The sequence below is a fragment of the Homo sapiens genome, chromosome 13, assembly GCF_000001405.40.
Source record: "Homo sapiens chromosome 13, GRCh38.p14 Primary Assembly".
Taxonomy (NCBI): Eukaryota; Metazoa; Chordata; class Mammalia; order Primates; family Hominidae; genus Homo; species Homo sapiens.
Window position 1 is genome coordinate 27,162,048 of NC_000013.11, and position 22,151 is coordinate 27,184,198.

The window sequence follows — 22,151 nt, forward strand, 5'->3', positions numbered from 1 at the left end:
TCCGTTACAACTCCTACAGTCCACAGTATCTTAATGTGCTTTCCATCCTTTCCTTAAGAGGGCATGGAGTCTTACCAACAATGACCATGTAAGGGTGATGTTGATATGTATTTATAGTACAAAGGACGTTCACATGTGTCATCTCATCTGATCTAATGGGGAAATTATTATTCCATTTCATAACTGAAACCAGTTAAACGGCCTACCCAAGTGAAAATAATTAGTGAGGACTCAAAGTCACACACACACAGATATGCAGCCGAAAAGTCAGGAATAAAAATTCCCCAATCTCTTGTTTGAAAAGGAGTAATTTTGTCTCAACCATCAAACCTGCAACACATTGCCCTGTAGATGTCATAACGAGTTTGCATGTCTAGAAATTTGGACCCCATCCCTAGCTGCTGCAGGGCTGACTTTAAGCTTCCTTTTCCATTTTGTGAAAATGGGGCTAATACTACCTAACCTTTCCTAATTCTGAATGGATCTTCAAGATGACAGATAGAGAAAGACTAATAACAACAACAAAATAAAATTAATGCTTTTGAAATACCTCAAAAAAAATCTATTGTTAATTTTCTTAGTTGTGACAATACTATCGTGTTACTGTTAAAGAGATTGCCCTTTCATTTTAGGTAGGTTTCTTATTGAGCAATATTTTGTTTTTTATCCATTCTGATAGTTCCTTTAATACAATGAAAGTAAGTTTGAACCATTTGGATTATTATGATTAATGAACTAGAAGAGCTTATTTCTTCCACCTGTGTTTTCTGTCATTCTTTTTCATTTTGTTTTTCCTATTTTCCTTCCCTCAGAGTTTGAATGGTAACGTTTAAATGTCTGCTGCTACGGAAGCAAGAAAATTCACTCCCTGTGTGGGTGTGTATTTATCCTTAATTTTTTAACATGTATATACAATCCAAAATTTTCCAATAGTGGTTGTTTAGTTGGCTCTTAAACAAGGAGGCCCTTAACAAGTTTTAACAACCCACTGAACTGTCCTTGTACCCCATCCATCTTGTTTTGTTGTCATTTTCTCTTCTTAAAAAAAATACAAGCAAATTTTGAAAAATCAATGTAATTCAATTTACCAGCATATTTTTACCAACTCCATTGTTTCTTATATCCTCATGACTGTCCTCTGGACTTACATTTCCTCAGGCTAAACACACACTTTAATAATCATTTTAATGTGAATCAATACTTGGTAAACTCCTGGTACTTCTTTAAATATGCCCCCTTCCTACTCTCCAGCCTTACTGTTCACAAGACCCGCTTTCACGCCAAACCACCTACAGAGCCTAAGAGTAACACATTATCTATTTACATCTGGTATCCCATCCCTCCATGTCCACATAATAAAGGCCATTCATTTTGCAAAGTTCAACTCTCTTCTAAGAAGCTTTTTCCTGAAGCCCTCTTCTCTCTCCCAAAACCACCTTCTCTTTCACATATAATTACCATTACTTATACCAATAAGAAAAACATCTCATTGCATGCATTTGTTTTATACGTCCATCCTCTTCTACAATACTGTAAGTAGAGCTGGTTTTCAATCTTCTCATCAGGACACACAGAGAAAATAGTATATGTAAAGCCCACAAGAATACAGACATAGCCAGGTGCAGTGGCTCACACCTGTCATCCCAGCACCTTGGGAGGCCAAGGCAGGAGGATGGTTTAAATGTAGGAGACAGCCTGAGCAATAGAGCAAGACCTGTCTTAAAAAAAAAAAAAAAAAGAAAAAAAAAAAAGAAAAGAAGCTACAGGTAAGACAGGTATGTCTGCTCTCACCAGAAAGGGACTGGCTAAGGGTCTCCTATCAACCCAGATACCTCCAGGCTTCCCAGGGGTCAAGAGGACTACTTCCTCAGCACAACTATAACCCACTCAAGACACACTGAATGGGAAGTTCCATAAGACCAGAGTTTATCACAGTCGTCTTCATGTTCTCAGAACCTACATGCAGCACGATATAATGTAGGTCTCCATGAATCCTTCCTCAAAATACTTTAGAAAAAGCACTCTTTATCCCTACAAAAAGGAAAAAAAAAAAAATCACTAGCATCAGGTAGAGGCTTAGTAGGTCACTAAAATAAAAAGCACTAAAATAAAATCAAAGGCAACAGTACTCTAACTCTACTGAAAGATATTATGATTTAAACCACCCTTTACAAGTAGAGAATGTGTGGATGCTTCCTCTACCCATGAAGCATTTCAGTTAAGAACATCTGTCCATTATCACTGAAATAAACATCTACTTCTTGTTTTCAGTTGGAAATAAATTTTTATTGGTACGTAGCTTTGGACATGTGGCTCACTACAGATAAATAAAGCAAGCTTACACATCTCTTCTTTAGACATAACATACTGTTTAGAAGAAGCTAATGGTCCTTCTGAAAGAGAAGCAGCAGCAAAGCATAAGCCAAGGAACAGAGAGGGCTATACCACCTCACACAGTGGTGCTCTACATTAAATTTCTTATAGTTTACACTATCACAAAAGTCTTCGAGTTTTGCTGTGAGAAAGCAAAGACTTACTAGTTTTTCTTCCTAAATAAATGTATATAAACTGCCACTCTAACCTCCTAAAGCAAATTCTGCACATAAGATAGCAAATGGTCAAATGTTATATGTAAGTTTTTCAACAATACTGGGACTCCAATAGAGAGTTTTCAGTTCAGCAAGTGTAACTCTTCATAATACAACTCTTCACTTACTACTTTCTCCCAACACCTTTAAAGTATGGTGTAGATATGTAAATATCCCTCTTCTAGACTAGGAGATTGGGACTGTAGGTTTTAGACAAGATATCTAAGAGCAAGGTGGGTAAGTTCAATGTAAGCCAACAAGAGATGTTATTCCCTTGTTATGCTCCCTAAAGGATAGAGCATAAGGAAATTAAATATAATAATATGGCCTCAGTAAACAGAAAAATCTGAAAGAAAATAAGTCCTGAAGCTAACTTGAATGCACACACCTTGTTCTAGTAATGACAAAAAGCTGGTGTGCTTTTTTTTTTTTTTAGTATAAAATAAGGTAAGATAGATTTTTCTTCTAAAAGTATTAGATTGTTGCAAAAGTAATTGTGGTTTTTGCCATTCTCAACTTATCTAAACTTGTAAAATATGTTTGAGAATGTCACAAATTAGACCAGTTATTTTTGTTCCCAGATAAAAGAAATAAATTATTCTATGAACTATTCAAAATAGAGAAAGAAGACAATCTACATTCTCAGCTTTCATATTATGAATTAATCCACTCAATTTCAAAATAAATTAGTGCTTTCTCAGGGGTATATACTACTAATAAACTAACGTTTCTTATAATGAAAAGGAACTGACAATTGTATTTCACAAAACAAATTTCCATTTTGGTTAGTATATGTTGAGCTAACAGATTAATTAGTAGTGCCAATGAATACTTTTTACCACAGGGAGGGGAGCAAATCATGTTAAAGGGCAGTAACAGCCAACATGACACAGTGATTACCATGGGCCAGGTACTAGTCAACAACCCTATGAACTAGATGTTATTTTACTCTCACTTTACAGGTACAGAGAAGTAACTTGTCCAAGGTCATACTCATAACTAAAGAAATAAACATGGAACCTCAAAAAAATTCAAATCCCTTAATGGTACTGGCAAAGAAAAAAGTGTCAAAAATTAGCAAATAGCTTTGTGAATTATTAGGCTGTTGGTGACGAAAATGGTGGTATCAGTAACCTCCAGTTTTAAAGAAAGAAAAATGTATTTAGACTGTAAAAACTAGGGAACTAAGTGAAATTCTTGCTTAATTATGTCTGATTCTATGCTTTTTATGTTATCTAAAACATAATTAGAACTCCCAAGATGTTCTAGAAATGGGCTACAGAGCAAAAAAAATAATAATAATTTTTTAAAAAAGAGCTCCTAAAATGATGAAAATGATACCAATAATCATTTATAAACTACTAAAGGATCAGAATTTTAGACCTAGAAGGAGACAAGCATATAAGGAATATCTATTAAAGAGTATCTAGTCCAATCCCTTTATTTCACAGATGAGAAAAATTAACTCGAAGTTTTAAGAAACTTTCCCATATATACACATCTAAATGTCAAAATCTGGACTAGAATTTACCTTCTGGTCCAACTGCTCTTTTCATTATACCATGCTGTCAAATACATAACAAAATACCATATTAAGTTTCTGGAATAGAGCTGCTAAAAGAGAAACCAAAACAAAATTAGATTATTTAAATCTAAAAAGGTTTCTGGAAAGGAATTATACAAAGTATACAAATGCTTAAAAGATACTTCCTGAGACAATAAAAGTTTCAGAAGAGCTAGAATAAATATGAGTTTAAAGGCAGGAAGAAAGGAATTTGGTAAATGACAAAAAGGAGGCAGACTCAGTTTGGGGGGACTTGGTCAAAAGTCTAGAATCAAATAAGGCAACAAGAAATGTGACATCATCTCGCTGCAACTGGCCAACATGGATCATGGTAGGGCAGATAATTAACCTACTTTGAGACCTATTAGCCACTTATTAGCAAAAGGTGGAAAGAGAAAGTCACCAGAAGGTAAGCAAAGCCATATGATATAAAATAAGACCATAATATTTATACACATGCCACATAATTGAATATGGTATTTAAAACTAGAGTTTTCAAGCATATTAAAAATTTCAGATCATAACAAGTCTTATCTTTGTGATAACTAAGTGCCTAAGATTAGAATAAACCACCTCTTATAAAATTCCATTTCTGCTAACTATATCACTTTACCCTCTAATAATCATTAAACATATAACCTGTCAACGCCCTAGTACCCTACCACTATGCTTTATTGGGCTCATCTCACCACCTCATCATTTTATAACATTAAACTCATGTTCATCCTAAAATTGGGCAAATTTTAGGATGGGCATGAATGATGATAATGATAACATGATAATCATTCGTGGGTAAACAGTGTAAAACTATATCTAGGGAATACAACTCAAGTTTTTTAAAAAGTTAAATAAAATATGCTCTGGCCAGCCTGACCAACATGGAGAAACCCCATCTCTACTAAAAATACAAAAATTAGCTGGGCGTGGTGGCACATGCCTGTAATCCCAGCTACTCGGGAGGCTGAGGCAGGGGAATCACTTGAACCTGGGAGGTGGAGGTTGCGGTGAGCCAAGATTGCAGCATTGCACTCCAGCCTGGGCAACAAGAGTGAAACTCCGTCTCAAAAAAAAAATAAAATAAATAAATAAATAACATATCCTCTGGGAGGTAAAAATTGACCTTCCTTTTGCTTTCTTGGAGTTTTTATATTTTCCAGATTTTCTATGAGAATGTATCATTTTTAATGTCCAAAATGTATTTTAGACAAATTCAAAAGATGAGTGGGCTTAAATAAAACTTCTATTAATACTTCTTCTAAATGTTCTCTCTCCACCAAGCTCAAACATTCCTTTGACCAAACATTTATGTAATAGAAGATTCCTTATTTTTGAGGTTTTCTTATTTTTTTTAAAGGCTTAAGAAGCTTAAGTTTTGTTCCCTTCTTAAATTAACACAGCAAAATTAGATAAGTAAAACAATGGCAACTCACATTTGAATGCTCCTATCATAGAAGTACTATTTTACTAATAAAATATTAATTTACAAATAAATATTTTATTAATAAAAGAACTACATCCACCCTATTTCTTGAGAAGGAAAAAGAAATTTCATTATTTAATATAATATTCTTGTTATATGAAGAGGAGACTTTCACACACACACATTCCCAACAACGCATGGGCTCTGAGGTTTGCCCCAGCTTTCCTTTTTTTCAGTAGTAAGGATAAATTGCACTGACCACACATACCCTTACCTGGATCCCAGTGAGACTGAGCAGTAAGAAAAGGCAAACATTTTCCATGTATGTCCTTTCTAATTTATGTTTTTAAAAATCGTGTTATTAAAACAGAGCAAACAAAAAAGAAAAGACAGCCAGTTTCACCTGTGCCTTTCTTCAGCAAGTAAAGTTTACCATGCTCAGGGTGCTGTGCTAGGCACAGGCTTTCTCAGAAGAAAAGCCCGTGGGACTCTCCTAGCACCTACCTTTACCAGCTTTGGCCTCATTACCACCATGTTCTAATGGATCTAATCTCATGCCCTTGTAACCGAGGGTGGGCAAGCAGCCAGGCCAGTGCCACCCCATGATCTAACTCTACCCACCTCCTGCACCAACAACTTCTCCGTTGTCTGGTCCCCCTCCCAACAACGCCTTCCTAACCATGACTCCTACAACCCAAACAGGAAGAGACAATAATGATCAGAGGCAGAGCTAACATTTATGGAGCTAACAGTAAGTAGTGCCAGCTCCAAAGCAGGGGCTGTCCTGACCACTACTGCATGCCCATGACGGACCACCCGGATTAGCCACCTCAACTGCAAAACACAGCCTCTCTACATGTATTCTGTCACTTTTCCCGTTATTTCACACTTATTAAGTATAATATTAAATATCAGGTAGGCAGGTACTCCGTGCCAGGCCCTGAAGTCTGAAACTACTTCAAAGGCAAAATAAACACTATGTGATACTGAAAATGTATTATTTCATAGACAAATTAAAAACAGGTATTTCAAGAGGTACCCTTGAAAATGTACTCACTGCAATCTAAACATAATCACTCATTTGGTTCAGGCTATAATACTAACTTATGAAAAACAAGTTTTACTAATTTTCACATGTAAGCACAACACTAGTGATCTAAAATAAGACACAGCTGAAGAGAATTGTTTTTAACAGTTACTTAACCCAATTAAGGTATTGCAGATTTGCCCAGGTACGTTATTTTGACAAATGAAAAAATTATGTACACTTCAGTACTTATAGAATAAAATTTCAACTCATCCTAAATGTTTTCACAGCTGCTGATTCTGAGAAGTGTTCTGTTTAAGTCCAGCCCATCTTCTCTCCACCATTCCACACACACACAGCCACATCATCCCTGCTTCACCCGGCATACCAGGAGGAGGCAGGAAGGACTTTGGAAAACTTTTATACTGAATGCAGAACTTGGTACTCCAGATCAAACTGCAGAAGTAAATGATAATCCTTCCCCTTCAAGGCCCTCACAATTGAGTAAGAGTTCAAAGAAAAATTTACTGCACAGTAAGTATGATAAGTGCTACTGAGATTACAAAAATGCCATGAAACTGTATGAAGGGGATGGAGGGTCGGGTTGGACAGGGGTAGGATTATTCAAGTAAGGCTCCCTGCTTAAGAGACAGGCACACACACTCGCCAGACAAGAAGGATACGGGGTGTGGCAGGGAGGAGCGTTCCAAGCCTAGCAAAACAGCACCTACAAAGCCAAAGAGGTATCTTTGCTTTTCAATTTTGTGATTCTCAGAGGACAAATGGCAATTTTCTTTAAAGAATAAGACTGCAAATTACTTTGAGATATTCAGCACTATTTGGGGGTACATTCGAATGTATTCAAATATGAATACAGACACACCCAATTTTAATAGTACCTTTGGAACGATCTCATTTGGCCAGGCATTTTCTGTATTTGCCAACAATACACACGCCCCACATGTAATTAATGTATCTGGATGGAAGCCCTAGAAAGAGCTTCTGATTTGACATCCTTGGGATCAGAATCCCACTTACTAAGTGTGTGACCCTGGCAAATCCCTGTGTCTCACTGTCCTAATCTGATTACAGCATACATTTATTGTTTACCTGAATACTGTTTGTGTCCATGAGCAAGAATGTAAACACCAAGAAAACAGGGGCTGCCCTGACCAATACTGCATCCCCAGTACTCAGCGTCGCCTCTAGCACTTAGTGGCTGCTAAGTGTATACTTGATATACAGTACTTGAGTGAATGAACAGTCGGTAAAGAGTATCACACCACTCCTGAAATCTAGTCTTTGACAATGAACTATGACCCATACAATGTGTGTAGCTCAGCCATGTGGCAAAATTGTCACTGTAAAAGACCTAATTATCGCATTCCTTTTGAAATTGACTAAGATAATAATTGGCGTATCTAAAAATAATTAGCCCAAACAATTCTCCAAAATCATTTTAATATAGTCCATTTAATACAAATGCTTTCCTAAAATGTAAACTGTGAGAAAGAACAATCATCCAGTTGGGAAATGGAGTCTTCAATGATTCATCCTTCAATATGATTTCTTTAATACTGTCGATTTTATGTCCACCTGATTTCAGTCATTTTTTGTACTGTTCCTCAGCGTGTAGTAGAGAATCTGCTTTTTAAGGCATCTTTCAGATCTGATTCACCACTCCTTAAAGAAAAATATATACAATGTACCACCCTTAGATGGAAAATTTCTTGGGGATCTCCTATATGAAATCAGTTGCATAAATAGGGCCAGTGAGGCATGAAACACAAGATTTCAGAAGTCTCTAATAACAACCACTAGGCCCACGTTGCAAAGAACAACTTTTTTCGGTGATGACTCATAAATTATGATCCCTACATATAAGCTCATGAGGAACTAATGAAACGAATTTGTCTCATCATGTGGAAAACTGTGGTCCTTCTGGCCACGCACAAAACACCAAGTTTTAAACGCGCCCACGTTTTGCTTAATTCGGGACTTCCAGCGGGCATTAGCACTTTTCCCTTACAGTCTATTTAAACGCCCTAGGAAAACAAATACCATCGCCTTGGCAGGCGGTCCCCGCACAGACAGACCTAGCTCCAGCCACATACAGATGTGTCTGGTGGGCTGAAGTAAACAAATGACAGGAAAGCTAATGCTGCTTTTCAAGATTAACGTGCATTCCCAGAGACAAGACTGCCACCTGGACACACGGCTGGAAACGGGAGAGCTCGTGCCTCTCAGAGGAGAAAATGGAGAGAATTTCAACAGTACTTATTTAAAGTTTCCACCTTCACACACGCCCCTTTCCCCCAGCGCGGGGTCGGGGACTCGGCCCAGCCAGCGGCGCGAGGAAATCTGCACTTGACTTCCGTCCTCTCCCAGGCGGGAATGAGCGCTGCCCGCCCCGGCCGAGACCCTTCCTTCCTGCCCGCCGACCCCCACCCCTCCCGGGGACCCCTCCCGCTCGGCGCGCGACCAGAAGGAAATGGAGCCCGCGCGGCTCCGCGCCCCCTCCCCGACGACCCCGGCCCGGGGCCGCGCTCTGGCTCGCGCGCGCCCACCCCTCACCCCGGCACAGGCCGGGCGCGCCTCGGCCCTCGTCCCCGCGTCCCGAGCGGACCCCAGCAGTTCAGCCGGGGACTCCCGGAGGCCGGTGCCCGCCCGACGCCGCGTCTGGCACGGTCGCCCACTCACCGCTACCCTCGCGCCGCCCTGGCCCACCAGGCGGCGCCCCCTCCCCAGCCGCCTGGGCCGCTCACCCCCGCGCTCCCCGCCTGCGCGCCGTCCAACCGCCCCCGCCCGGGCCGCCCGGGCCGCCCAGCCCGCCCGCCCGCCCCGGCGCTAGGCCCCGCGAGCGGCCACTGGGAGAGGCGGGTCCAGCGCCGCCCGCCCGCCCGAGAGGTCCCGGCAGCCCCGGCCGCCCGCTCGCCGCCACCTACCATGGTACAGATGGAGGCGAATTTGGAGACTGTCATTAGGATTTCCATCCGGCCAGCGCCATCTTCCACCCAATCACAGCGGCGGCGGCGGGCGGGGGAGGAGGGGAGCCGGGCCGCCCGCTCGCACCGCAGCCCGCGGGCGGACCCCGAGCCGCCGCGGACCCAACCACCGAGCCCGCTGGGCCGCCGCTGCCGTCGTCGCCGCCGGCGCTCAGGCACTCCCGGCCTCGGGCCCCAGCCCCCGCCTGCCGGCCGCCGGCCCGCCCCCGGCTCCGCCCCGGCGCAGGGCGCAGCCGCTGCCTCCGGGCCCGCGCCTGCACGCGAAGCCGCCCTCCGCCCACCCCGCCCAGCGCACAGGGGAGCGGGCTCCGCCGAGGCCCTAATGCCCGGCCTGCCAGGCAGCGGCGCGGCCAGGCGGCGCAGCCCCGCCCACCCCTCGGCAACCCCTCCGCGGCCCTTGTGCGCGAGCCGGGGAACTCCGGTCCGTCCCCACCCCGCGCGCGGCAGAGGGCAGGACCGAAGGCGGGCGCCACCTCCTGCCCGCGTCCCTGCGGTCCTAGAGCCGGGGACCCAGAGACCCCCGCGTAGGAAGGGGTGCGGCGGGGAGGCGCGGGGGTGGCGGCGGCGATCTGGGAGAACCCTGGAGGGGACCAGCTGCGACACCCACCGCGGGCGAGGGGACGGCGAGCCCCCGCTGCCTAAACAGAAAACGGAGGCGATGATCTGGGTAACTACGGGCGGAGTGGGAGGAAACCTGCTCTGCACAGTTAAGATAACCCGGGTATGCGTCCCAAGCACTTGGTTTGTTTCTTTTTACGTATATTGGATGAATCACCGGAGTCAAACACAACTTAGAAAAAGACAAAATAATTAAACAAAAATGAAGAGGCAAAGAACAAATTACACATGTTTAACTCTTTGAATTAAGAAGAAAGATAAGTAATGGGGGAAGGAGAGGAGCGAAACCTGTTGGCCTGTTGGCGATAAATTTATAATAGGCTTCTAAATATCTGCACATTGAGCTGCAAAATAGGGAGGATCTCAAGCCAGCAGTGATGATGATATTACCAGAGACAGGAAGCCCGCAAGCAAGAAAAATGCCCTGTGAGAAATCCTTAGGCAGTGCTGGCTACTGGCATGGGTAGTTCCTCTTTCTCCTTTTATAAAATTCATATTTGCACCCTGTTCTTCATGCCTGGCAGCTCAGCTTTATTTTTTCCTATTTGAGAAAGTAGTTCAAGTGAGTAGAATAACTTCATAAATTATTATGTTAGAAAGCTTGTGATATTTTCTGATTGAACTCGTGATGGGGTACTTTTCTGGGTTCCCCTAATTCAGTGGGGTTGAGGATCTGAATTCAGGCAGAGCTGTAAAATCAGAAATGCCTCACCTCAAGGGTTCAAAGCACTCAAAAACAAAAAGCATTCAAACAAAATTTAAGTGAAAAATAGACTTCTGGTACATGAATACTGTTTCCATAGTGATTCCATTATAAGCTTGCTTGGGGGGGGAATGCAGATTGAATATAGCCAAGCCCCATGGTAGCCGGACTGGATCTCCAAGCGCCTGCCTCCATGGAAGCCAAGAGCCCTGATACCCCAGCCAGGGGCTTTCCTCTCTATACTTGCAAGCATCACCCACCTGAATTCTTTCTTGCTCTTTTCTACCCCCTGTTTGGACAAGGGTTTCTACATCTTAGACCTCTAGGGCCTACCTGGGCCTTGTCCGAGTGTCACCATGCCCATCTGTGTGCCCGTCCTGATAAATAGCTGTGGTCATCCTGTCCTTCCCACTTGCTGTTCTATTCCAGCAAACAGGTCTGATGTGCCAGAATTTTAGACCTGCCTCCATCCCGCTAACCACCCATATGCCTCCTTGTCCATTAATCCGAACATGTCACAGGAACAAAAGCCACTGGCTTTACATATAAGTTTATATAAGAACAAGGCCTTTCTAAAATGAATTTCTAGGCTGAGTATGGTGGCTCACACCTGTAATTCCAGCACTTTGGGAGGCCGAGGCAGGTGGATCACTTGAGGTCAGGAGTTGGAGACCAGCCTGGCCAACGTGGTGAAATCCCGTCTCTACTAAAATACAAAAATTAGCCAGGCGTAGCAGTGTACGCCTGTAATCCCAGCTACTCAGGAGGCTGAGGCATAAGAATAGATTGGATCCTGGAGGTGGAGATTGCAGTGAACTGGGATTGTGCCATTGCACCCCAGCCTGGGTGACAGAGTGAGACTCTCTCAAAAATAAATAAATAAATAAATTTCTAGGCTGGGCACAGTGGATCAGGCCTGTAATCCCAGCACTTTGGGAGGCTGAGGCAGGAGGATGGCTTCCAACTTCCTTGAGACCAGGGAGTTCAAGACCAGCCTGGGCAACATAGTGAGACCTTGTCTCTACTAAAAATAAAAATAAATACGTGGTGCATGGTGGCGCATACCTATAGTCCCAGCTACTTGTGAGGCGAAGTAAGAGGATAACTTAAGCCCGAGATATCCAGGTTGCAGTGAGCCATGATTGAACCACTGCACTGTAGCCTGAGCGACAGACTGAAACAGTATCTCAAAAATACAGCACAGTGGCTCTCGCCTGTTGTAATCCCAGCACTTTGGGAGGCCAAGGCGGGCGGATCACTTGAGGTCAGGAGTTTGAGACCAACCTGGCCAACATGGAGAAAGCCCATCTCTACTAAAACTACAAAAATTAGTTGGGCATGGTGGCGAGCACCTGTAATCCAAGCTACTAGGGAGGCTGAGGCAGGAGAGTCGCATGAACCTGGGAAAAACCAGTGAGCCGAGATCATGCTACTGCACTCCAGCTTGGGCGACAGAGTAAGATTCCGTCTCAAAAATTAAATTAAATTAAATTTTAAAAAGTAAAATGGATTTCTGATAGAATTATCTGGAGTCATGTCTAGTTGATGTTGGAGCCATCTAAATTCACAGGTAAAGTCATGAAACCTAATCACAGAGCCTCACAATGCCTTGTCTCCACAGCCTATGGTCGATTGGAGAGACACAAACATAAAAGAGACATTCTTGAATCTATGTGCTAGGTGTTGTACTGAGTGTTCTTTACCATATGTAATGCAGTTGGAGAATAAGTTTGGCTGAAACTCCACACTTTTGCACCCTGAGCTTGGAAAGGGTAATCTGGCTTTAGAACACAGCTTTACACAGCTGTGTAATCAGCTTTACAAAGAGCTTCCCTGTGCCTAGCAAAAGATGAGTTTGTGTACAACTGACTCCTTTTCGGCCTTCTTGAATATGCAAACTACAAAATATGCCCAGATGCCTCAGGGACCAGGCAAGTAAATGAACTATGTCCAACCTTAATCCATTTAGTCAGCACAGCATTTTATAATGTTTTCATTTGCATACTGTTACACAATCCTACACTCTCCAGTTCCTTACAGTCTGCCTCAAATTTTCCTTTACTCATTCTGTTCAACAGTTTAACACAAGTCACTTTATTATATAGTTCTGCTACCTCTTTTCTCCCTGAAGGCATGTGGGTTTATACCAGCTCACATAAATGATTCGTGAAGCTTTGCTTGTGATGGGTTGGGAAAGAAAGTGATGGGGAGTGGTCCAAGAAGGGGTGTAAACATTTTATCTAATCCTTGCAACAACCTAATGAAGCAGGTGTTACGATTATCCCCACGTTTAGATAAGGAAACCAAGGCACAGAGATAACTTTTCCAGGGTTGCACAACTAACTAGTAAGCAATGGAACCAAGGTTTGAACCTAGCTCCAGGAGCCACACCTGTGTCCACTCCACTACACTAGCTTTGTAAAAGTATTTTATTTTGATTCTGACAGGATGAGGTTGAGAGGCACGACTCCTTTCGGACTTGCATGAAGGTTTAAGCTACAAAAAAAAAATACTCAAATCGATATTTCTTTGTTTCACTTTCCTCATCTGGAAAATAAGGGTAATAATTATGTTACAACGATAAAACATGTTTCAAATAGTGCCTGGCGCTCAACACAAAATGGAAAGTTTAGAATGGACATTCAAAGTCAACATTTTAAAAGTTGGGGGGCCGTGCGCAGTGGCTCATGCCTGTAATCCCAGCACTTTGGGAGGCCGAGGCAGGCAGATCACGAGGTCAGGACATCAAGACCATCCTGGCTAACCCGGTGAAACCCCTTCTCTACTAAAAAATACAAAAAATTAGCCGGGCATGGTGGCGGGCGCCTGTAGTCCCAGCTACTCGGGAGGCTGAGGCAGGAGAATGGCGTGAACCTGGATGGCAGAGCTTGCAGTGAGCCAAGGTCGCGCCACTGCACTCCAGCCTGGGCAACCGAGCGAGACTCCGTCTCAAAAAAAAAAAAATTTAAAAAAAAAAAAAGTTGGGGTGGGCAAATACAGCCCTCGGGCTGCCAGCTTGCTCCTCCAGATTTAATGAGCCTCTGCTATGTGCCAGCCACCTGCTTAGTACTTCAGATACATATTCCAATGTAACCCTTACGATGACCTTACAGATCCATCATTTCATACTTATTTTACACACAGGGGAATATGACATTCATCATTGCACTAACCAGCACATACAGGGCCAGGATCCACACAAAGGCTCTGACTCTAAAACCTGTGGTCTCTCCGCTTCTTTACCCAACCTCTTAATAGTTGAAGGAATCAGTCGTCTTAGTGGCATTCATTAATATCACCCAGTCATCAAGCAGTAGATGTCAATCAAAACAGTAAATTTTTTATTGGCTTGAATCAACAAATCAGCGACTTTTCAGGCCTTTCCTTTCTTTTCTTTTTCTTTTTTTCTTTTCTTTCTTTTTTTTTTTGAGACGGATTAATTTTGGGATTACAGGCATGAGCCACCACACCCGGCTAATTTTGTATTTTTAGTAGAGACAGGGTTTCACCATGTTGGCCAGGCTGGTCTCGAACAGTGCTGACCTCCAAGCAACACGATACATTTCAAGGCTCCTCAAGCACTAACAGATATTCTGCCTGCTTCTCTGAATCTCTTCTTTGGGTTGGAGTTTCCCATTTTCTTTTCAGCATTTGCTCAGCTCTAATGAGAAAGTTTATCAGGGGAAAAAAAATAGCACAAGAAAAGGAAACATCCTCTGGACTCCGAGAAGCCTCCGGCATCTAGGTCTAACTTCCCCATTCCCAACTCTGATTTTCTTGATTTGTGCCCTTAGAGTTTTTCCTTTGGATACATCTTCCTTCATCTTGCCTTCTCTCTACTACCTACTTCTCAAATTTTTCAGAGTAGTTTTTCTATATGTTTTACCAGGGTTTAACCATTTGTTGGAGTTTGTATGGGAAACCTTTGGCTCTACCTTGTCATTTTGCTGTCACTTTCACATTCAGATTTGCATTTTAGCACCCACGGGGCCTCCTTGCCACTTGACCTTCATCAGCCTACCTAGGGTACCTAGGGAGAGGTAATGTGCCACGTTGGGGTTTCCTGAAATGTTCAAGCTGAATCCTCAGCTGATGAAATACACACAGTTTCTACTTCTTCTTTAAAAAAAAAAAAAAAAACTCTATTAAAATAGCTAAGCACAGCAATGTTAAACCAAATAAAAAATTCCAAAATATATTTAGCATGAAGAAACTCCTGTCATATACACAAGAAACTGTTAACGGTGATTTCCTGGAATGAGGAAGTAGGAACTAGGGGAGAAGGTGGAGGAGGGAATTTTTACTGTATACTTTTTTAGTTACACATGCGAATATACAACTATTTCAAAATTTCAGTAAATGGAGTATTTTTAAGACTTAAAAGACATATTTATGTGACATTATTTTTAAATTACTAGGGCACAGTTAACATTTTTTTTTCTTTTTAAAAGTAATGTATTGGCCAGGCCCACTGGTTCACACCTGTAATCCCAGCACTTTGGGAGGCCGAGGCTGGCAGATCACGAGGTCAGGAGTTCGAGACCAGCATGACCAATATGGTGAAACCCCATCTCTACTAAAAAATACAAAAATTAGCCGGGCATGGTGGCACGCGCCTGTAATCCCAGCTACTCAGAAGGCTGAGGCAGGAGAATCACTTGAACCCGGAAGGCAGAGGTTGCAGTGAGCCAAGATCACACCATTGCACTCCAGCCTGAGCAACAGAGCAAGGCTGTCTCAAAATAAAAATGTATTTTGAGCCTAGTTTAACTCTGATTCCTCTCTGCCTAAGTAGACCATACACTTGAACCCCCATGCTCCCTCCTTAGGGCTCTCTCGAGGTACTTATCTTCCACTTTCATTGGCTCTGACTGTCTTAGTAAAGAAAGAAAACAATCTCTTTATACATGAAGTAAAGGACAAGCATCTATTTGCCTGCTTCAAGAGGGCTGGCCTTGGGTTGTTCTTCCAGCACTATCAAAAGGAAGAGGTTATGGGGGAAGTGAGAGGTGGAAGAAGGGAAGTGAACCTCAAAATTTCTCACTGTTTTCATGTTCCTGCCTCTCCATCCTCAAGACCCAAAGAGAAAAGAGATGCAGTGGGCCCCAGTCTATCACGTGATCAGTGCCCTCACCTGCCCACTAGGCGGTTCTGTCGCTGCCTTTTTCCCAGCATGGGAAGAGCACTTGCTCCTCTAAGCTCCTCTCCATCTTAACCTTTTCTGGTTTGCTTGCTTATTTTTTAGAATAATTTACTTTGGCCTTTCCCAATTCCCTCTGGTCAAGTCTGCTAGGTATGTTGTGCACTTTTATTTCCTTTTTGTGTTTTTTAACAACAATTACACACAGGAGCAGATATATCTGCTTTCTGCCACAAACCTTGAGGATACACAAATGACAGATTTACGAGAATTTTTTTTAAAAGGTCTTCCAGGTAACAAGTAAATGCACATGTGTCTCTCCAAAGCTCCAACCAGGGCTGCTTCTCCAGCCAACCTGCCGCAGACTGGCACGCAATTCCCCCAGAGCCACTTCTTCCTCTCTTCTGTTGCTGGTAAACAGCAAGGAGTTTTGCATCTTAAGGATTCTATTGTTAATTGTTCCTGGGAAACAGGAAATAGACAATAAAATAATGAATATGGGAAAGTCAAAGTTTATAAAGCTCTGTAGTAGGGATAGTTGACCCTGAAATACTACAGGGTTTCAAGTTAAGACTTAGGGTGTCCGAAGGCTTGATTGACTCCCCCTGTACACACACACAAACACACATGCAAGATGTTCAGTTTGTGATTCTTTTTTCTTCTTTTCTTTCTTTCTTTCTTTTTTTTTTTTTTTTTGAGACTTAGTCTCACTCTGTCACCCAGGCTGGAGTGCACTGGTGCGATCTTGGCTAACTGCAACCTTCACCTCCCGGGTTCAAGCAATTCTCCTGCCTTAGCCTCCCAAGTAGCTGGGATTACAGGAGTGTACCACCACAGCCAGCTAATTTTTGTGTTTTTAGTAGAGATGGGGTTTCACCATGTTGGCCAGGCTGGTCTCGAACTCCAGACCTCAGGTGATCTGCCCGCCTCGGCCTCCCAAAGTACTGGGATTACAGGCATGAGCCACCATGCCCAGCCAGTTTGTGATTCTGAACAAGCTCTTAACTTTCTCAACTCCAGTTTCCTCATTATACAATGGTGAAGACCCCTACTTCATCATGTTGTTGAAAGGATTAAATATGATATTGTACATAAGTTCTCAGCACCAGACCAAGCCCACAAGGAGATAAAAGGAATGCACGGTTGTTCACCTGGAATCTTCACCTGTTCTTAACAGGACACTTCAGTCAAAATAGCTTGTGATTCCTTGACTCAAGAGGTAATGAATTTCCAACAGCCAAAAGGTGGAAACAACCCGCATGTCCATTGACAGAAGAATAGATAAACAAAATGTAATATAAACGTACAATGGATTATTATTCAGCCTTAACAATAAATGGTATTTCAACACATGCTACAACACGAATAAACCTTGAGGATGTTACGCTAAGTGAAATAAACCAGTCACAAAATGACAAATATTATATGATTCCATACAGTATTCCATGTGTATGAGGTACCTAGAGTAGTCAAATTCATAGAGCCAGAAAGGACAATGGCAGTTGCCAGGGACTTGGGAAGAAGGGCAGGGAGAGTTATGGTTTAATGGGCACAGTTTCAGTTTTCCAAGATGAAAAGAATTCTGGAGATGGATGGATGGTTGCACAACAGTGTAACTGTCCTTAATGCGGCTGGGCATGATGGCTCACTCTTGTAATCCCAGCACTTTGGGAGGACAAGGCAGGCAGATCACCTGAGGTCGGGAGTTCAAGACCAGCCTGACCAACATGAAGAAACCCCATCTCTACTAAAAACACAAAATTAGCTGGGTGTGGTGGCACATGCCTGTAATCCCAGCTACTCGGGAGGCTGAGGCAGGAGACTCACTTGAACCCAAGAGGTGGAGGTTGCAGTGATCCGAGATCACGCCACTGCACTCCAGCCTGGGCAACAAGAGCGAAACTCCGTCTCAAAAAAAAAAAAAAAATTCCTTAACGCTACTTAACTGTGCACTTAAAATGGTTACATAATAATAAAGCCTATTATATGAGTCTTCAGAGGAAGATAAGAGGCAGTTTGGTACAGGGGTTAGAAAGTTAAACTTGGGAAAGACCCTGACCCTTTCAGTTTGTCAGTTACTTCTTAAATCAGAGGTCAGTGTCTTGTAACAGTGTTGCATAAACACCAAAGCACAGTCAAAATTCAGGCTGACTATCCCTTATCCGAAATGCTTGGGACCAGGAGTGTCCTGGGTTTACGATTTTTTCCGGATTTGGGAATATTTGCATTATACTCACCGGTTGAGCATCCTAAACCTGAAAATCCCAAACCTGACATGCTCTGTGATCATTTCCTTTCAATGTCATGTCAACACTCAAAAAGTTTTGGATTTTGGAGCATTTTAATTTTCAGATTTTCTGATTAGGGACACTCAACCTGCAGTAGGCATCTTTAATAGATTTTTTGCAGAGTGTTTCCTAAATCACATTGCTAAGTGTTGTTATTCTTTTAAAATCTAAGCCTATCACACAAAAGCATGAAGTTAATATGTCCAAGCATGCTCCCTGGAAGCACTGATTGTCATAGTGAATGGTTAAATAAATGTCGATGCATCCACACAACTGAATATTATTCAAGCCTTCAAAAGATTAAGACAGGGCCAGGCTCGGTGGCTCACACCTATAATCCTAACACTTTGGGAGGCCTAGGCAGGAGGATCACTTGAGCCCAGGAGTTCCAGACCAGCTGGGTAACATAGTGAGAAACCCATCTCTAAGAAAAATAAAAATTACCCAGTCGTGGTGGCACACGCCTGTAGTCCCAGCTACTTGGGAAGCTGAGGAAGGAGGTTCACTTGAGCCCAGAAGGTCAAGTGAACAGTGATCACACCACTGCACTCTAGGTGGGGTGACTGGCAAGTCTCTATCTCAAAAAAAAAAAAAAAAAAAAATTAAGACAAGGGTGTATGTGTCCTTGCCCAAAAACATATCCACAATCTATTATTAAGTTAAAAAGAAAGAGCAAATTTCAAGATAAGATGTAAGAGAACAGGTATAATTTTATACCTAATATTTAGAAGATTATAAATTTAACTTGTGATTAATTCTGGGAAGTAGAGTTATAGAGGCTTTCCCTTTCTTCTTTGTGTACTTCATTTTTGTTTAACATTTCATATTGAAAATGTATTACTTTCATAATAAAAATAAAATAAAAAGAGTGTTTCAAGGTTATAAGCCCGGTAGCTTCTTGCTCTCTTTTCACATTGATAGAGTTGCCATTGATCTGATGGGAACTGGATGACATGGAAGCATTGTGAGGTTCTGTCTTTGCTCTTTAAGCCATCCACTGTGTTACAGGCATAACCAGGCCTTTGGAAATCATGTTGGCACCTCCCTGAGGTCCATTCATAACATTGCCATGAGCCCCCTCGCAAAATGATGAAGTATGGTCTAAATGAAGTGTCTCTTTGGAGGAATCTAGTCTTGGTTCTCTCACTTACCATCACTAGTGCCCTACTTAAAAATTTTCCAAGATATAGTGTGTAAAGAGTGTTATAAGACTGTTACATAAATTAGTGAAAACTCCCACATAAATTTCTTTGCTGGTGTATGTACCCAAAGCCTTAGAGAAAGGACAGCTGAGATAGGACAGCACAGAGTGGGTCCAGAGACAAGTCCTCAGTCATCAGACCTGAAGCTCAATTTTTCTATCAAGGAACACATTTGGTGCAAGGGAGACAGACTTACTCAAACAAAAACAAACAAAACAACAACAACAAAAACCTCACAAGGACCTATTAGGATGTCTATATATATATATATATATATGAAACTAACAAGCATTAGGAAAGATGTAGATAAATGTAGAGAAATTGCAACCATTTTCTCTACAATGTGGGGAAATTGCTGGTAGGAATATACAATGGTGCAGCCAATGGTAAAAAAAAAACAGTATGGCAGTTCTTAAGAAAGCATAAAATTACCATATGATTCTGCAATTCCACGTCTGGGTATATATCCAAAAGCAGTGAATCCAGGCAATCCAACAGATATTTGCACACTCATGTTCATAGTAGCATTATTCACAATAGTCAAAAGGTGGAAGCACCCAAGTGTCCAATGATGCATGAATGAATAAACCTAAAATGTGGTACACACATATATATGGAATATTACTCAGCCATAAAAAGGAATGAAGGCTGGGTGCAGTGGCCTATGCCTGTAGTCCTAGCTACTCAGGAGGCTGCTTGAGGTCAGGAAGTTGAGGCCAGCCTGGGCAACATAACAAGACCTATCTTTGAAAAAAAACAAAAGATGAAAAAAAAAGAAGTAAAATTGTGATACATGCTATGACGTGGATGAACATGGAGAACATTTTGTTAAGTGAAATAAACCAGACACAAAAGGACTAATGTATGATTTCACTTATATTAATATGAGATAGCTGGAATCGTCAAATTCATAAAAATAAAAAGTAATATAGAGATTATCAGAGAGGGAATAAGGGGGGGATAAGGGGAAGTTACTGTTTAATGGGTACAGCGTTTCTGTTGGGGATGATGAAAAAGTTGGGGTATAAATAATGGTGATAGATGCACCGCCTTGTGGATGTATTTAAAGCCACTGAATTATATGTTGACAGATGGCTAAAATGATAAATATGTGATTTTATCACAATCAAAAACTAAGAATCTAAAAAAAAAAAAAAACCCCTCACAAGGGACTTGAGGACAAAACAGAATGCCAATTTGTTAATTTACACTGATTTCCTTCCTCCTCCAGGTCCCCAGAGCACCATCACTTCTAAGACTGTGACCTGCTTACAGATCCACTCCTCTGCCCCCACAGTCCACATGTCCACCCTGGGGGCCATGGCTTATTGATTCTTCCATGTATCAGCCCAAGAATCCCCTGCTGCCTTCTGAATAAAGGGTGCAAATACACGAAGCCTGCTCACGAATCAACATAAAACTTGGCTTCCGATCCCGCTTCCCTGCCTGTCTGCTTCCACACTTTTCACTCACGGACTTTCCTGCTCCCCCGGGCACCTTGTCTCCTTTTCCATCTGTGCTGACCCTTTGGCTTAGTGACTCAGCTTTTGGATTGGCCACTTGGCTGGGCCCTTGGTCCCTGCAAAACTGAGTTTCCTGTATCTGTGCTCTGTCAACTCTGAGTCAGCCAAACAGCTGAGGTCATTCTCTACTTGTCACCACCGATGAGGACGGAGAGCCAACACCACCAGTCAGTCACCCAAGCTGGAAATTTAAGCATCATCATTTCTTCTTTTCCTTCCCAGCCCTCCCATCGCTGCTTGCAGGCCAGTGAGTTCCACCCCAGGAATGTTCCACCCCAGTGTATATATTTCCTTCTGAAGTCCCATCCCCATACTGCTTGAGATCGGGGCTCATAATTCCCCCAATAAACCACTGTCCAGCCTCCTGCCTCACCTCTATCTAGCCTCTAGTCTGTGCCTCCAGTTCTTTACACCCTGCCACAGTGACTGCAAGTCTGGTCCCAGTGCTGCCCTGCGGAGAAACCTCCACAGGTTCCCACTGCCAGGGGACCAAGTTGAAGCTCTTTGCGAGAACTGCGCCCTCTCGCTATGGCCAGCCCACCACTCCAGCTCAGCCCTCCTCCCACAGGCCACACTTGTTCAACACGCTGAACCTTTGCCTTTCCCAAGGGCTTCCACCATCCTTTAAATCTGCCCACATTGTTCCTTCTGCCAAGAGTGACCATGTGGTCTGGTTTGCCCAGAACAACCTGTTTACGCCTATTTTCTGGTGTAATTATTAATTAACCACCCTCCCCCTCCACCCGCCCAAGTGTCCTGGTTTGAACAAGTTACATGGTCAGATTACATTTGCCTTAATTCTTCACCTGGCAAATCTCTGCTCATCCTCCAAGATCCGCTTCAATGTCAGAAGCTCTGGGAAGCTTGGCCCAAGTGCTGACCTCTACTTCAGGACTACCTCAGACTGTTATGTATGACTTCATGATGGTGTTTACCAGCATGCACTGTTATGCAATCGTTTACATGTCTAGTCATCCCTACTAGACTTTTGGAGTCTTACATATGCTCAATTAATGTTTGCTGAGGAGGAATGAAAAACGAATCCATTAAGTAGTTACTAAGTAAGGGCCAGG

At 42.7% G+C, this 22,151-nt stretch overlaps 1 protein-coding gene and 2 long non-coding RNA genes across 4 annotated transcripts in view, besides 9 other annotated features; 2 read left to right on the forward strand and 1 right to left on the reverse strand.

Annotated features, from left to right (window-relative positions):
- The window catches only part of USP12-AS1 (USP12 antisense RNA 1), a 43,603-nt gene extending 36,515 nt beyond the window's left edge, over positions 1-7,088 (forward strand). The window contains exons 2-3 of the long non-coding RNA NR_046547.1: positions 813-876; positions 6,890-7,088. This is a non-coding gene — a long non-coding RNA (USP12 antisense RNA 1). The remainder of the gene's footprint in view (positions 1-812; positions 877-6,889) is intronic.
- USP12 (ubiquitin specific peptidase 12) overlaps positions 1-9,764 on the reverse strand; it is a 105,656-nt gene extending 95,892 nt beyond the window's left edge. For both annotated transcript variants that reach the window (XM_005266282.3, NM_182488.4), the window contains exon 1: positions 9,545-9,764. In XM_005266282.3, coding sequence (XP_005266339.1) covers positions 9,545-9,592 — 48 coding nt within the window. In that variant the 5' untranslated portion in view covers positions 9,593-9,764. The remainder of the gene's footprint in view (positions 1-9,544) is intronic.
- Positions 8,741-8,850: an enhancer, noted in NCBI's record as "active region_7499". NCBI's record gives its function as "activates an Ori minimal core promoter by ATAC-STARR-seq in GM12878 lymphoblastoid cells {active_cell/tissue: GM12878}" and the evidence as "EXISTENCE:reporter gene assay evidence [ECO:0000049][PMID:35858748]".
- Positions 9,091-9,140: a silencer, noted in NCBI's record as "silent region_5193". NCBI's record gives its function as "represses an Ori minimal core promoter by ATAC-STARR-seq in GM12878 lymphoblastoid cells {active_cell/tissue: GM12878}" and the evidence as "EXISTENCE:reporter gene assay evidence [ECO:0000049][PMID:35858748]".
- Positions 9,171-9,240: a silencer, noted in NCBI's record as "silent region_5194". NCBI's record gives its function as "represses an Ori minimal core promoter by ATAC-STARR-seq in GM12878 lymphoblastoid cells {active_cell/tissue: GM12878}" and the evidence as "EXISTENCE:reporter gene assay evidence [ECO:0000049][PMID:35858748]".
- Positions 9,311-9,400: a silencer, noted in NCBI's record as "silent region_5195". NCBI's record gives its function as "represses an Ori minimal core promoter by ATAC-STARR-seq in GM12878 lymphoblastoid cells {active_cell/tissue: GM12878}" and the evidence as "EXISTENCE:reporter gene assay evidence [ECO:0000049][PMID:35858748]".
- Positions 9,461-9,510: a silencer, noted in NCBI's record as "silent region_5196". NCBI's record gives its function as "represses an Ori minimal core promoter by ATAC-STARR-seq in GM12878 lymphoblastoid cells {active_cell/tissue: GM12878}" and the evidence as "EXISTENCE:reporter gene assay evidence [ECO:0000049][PMID:35858748]".
- Positions 9,651-10,290: a silencer, noted in NCBI's record as "silent region_5197". NCBI's record gives its function as "represses an Ori minimal core promoter by ATAC-STARR-seq in GM12878 lymphoblastoid cells {active_cell/tissue: GM12878}" and the evidence as "EXISTENCE:reporter gene assay evidence [ECO:0000049][PMID:35858748]".
- USP12-DT (USP12 divergent transcript) lies at positions 10,212-21,456 on the forward strand. The gene is made up of 2 exons (NR_046548.1): positions 10,212-10,325; positions 20,787-21,456. It is a non-coding gene; the product is annotated as a USP12 divergent transcript (long non-coding RNA).
- Positions 10,351-10,540: an enhancer, noted in NCBI's record as "active region_7500". NCBI's record gives its function as "activates an Ori minimal core promoter by ATAC-STARR-seq in GM12878 lymphoblastoid cells {active_cell/tissue: GM12878}" and the evidence as "EXISTENCE:reporter gene assay evidence [ECO:0000049][PMID:35858748]".
- Positions 16,319-16,819: an enhancer, noted in NCBI's record as "H3K4me1 hESC enhancer chr13:27752503-27753003 (GRCh37/hg19 assembly coordinates)". NCBI's record gives its function as "activates a minimal SCP1, AML or CMV promoter by ChIP-STARR-seq in naive H9 embryonic stem cells {active_cell/tissue: H9 hESC(naive)}" and the evidence as "EXISTENCE:reporter gene assay evidence [ECO:0000049][PMID:30033119]".
- Positions 20,590-21,789: an enhancer, noted in NCBI's record as "P300/CBP strongly-dependent group 1 enhancer chr13:27756774-27757973 (GRCh37/hg19 assembly coordinates)". NCBI's record gives its function as "activates an origin of replication core promoter dependent on BRD2, BRD4, P300/CBP, MED14 and CDK7 cofactors, with strong dependence on P300/CBP, by STARR-seq in HCT116 cells {active_cell/tissue: HCT116}" and the evidence as "EXISTENCE:reporter gene assay evidence [ECO:0000049][PMID:35650434]".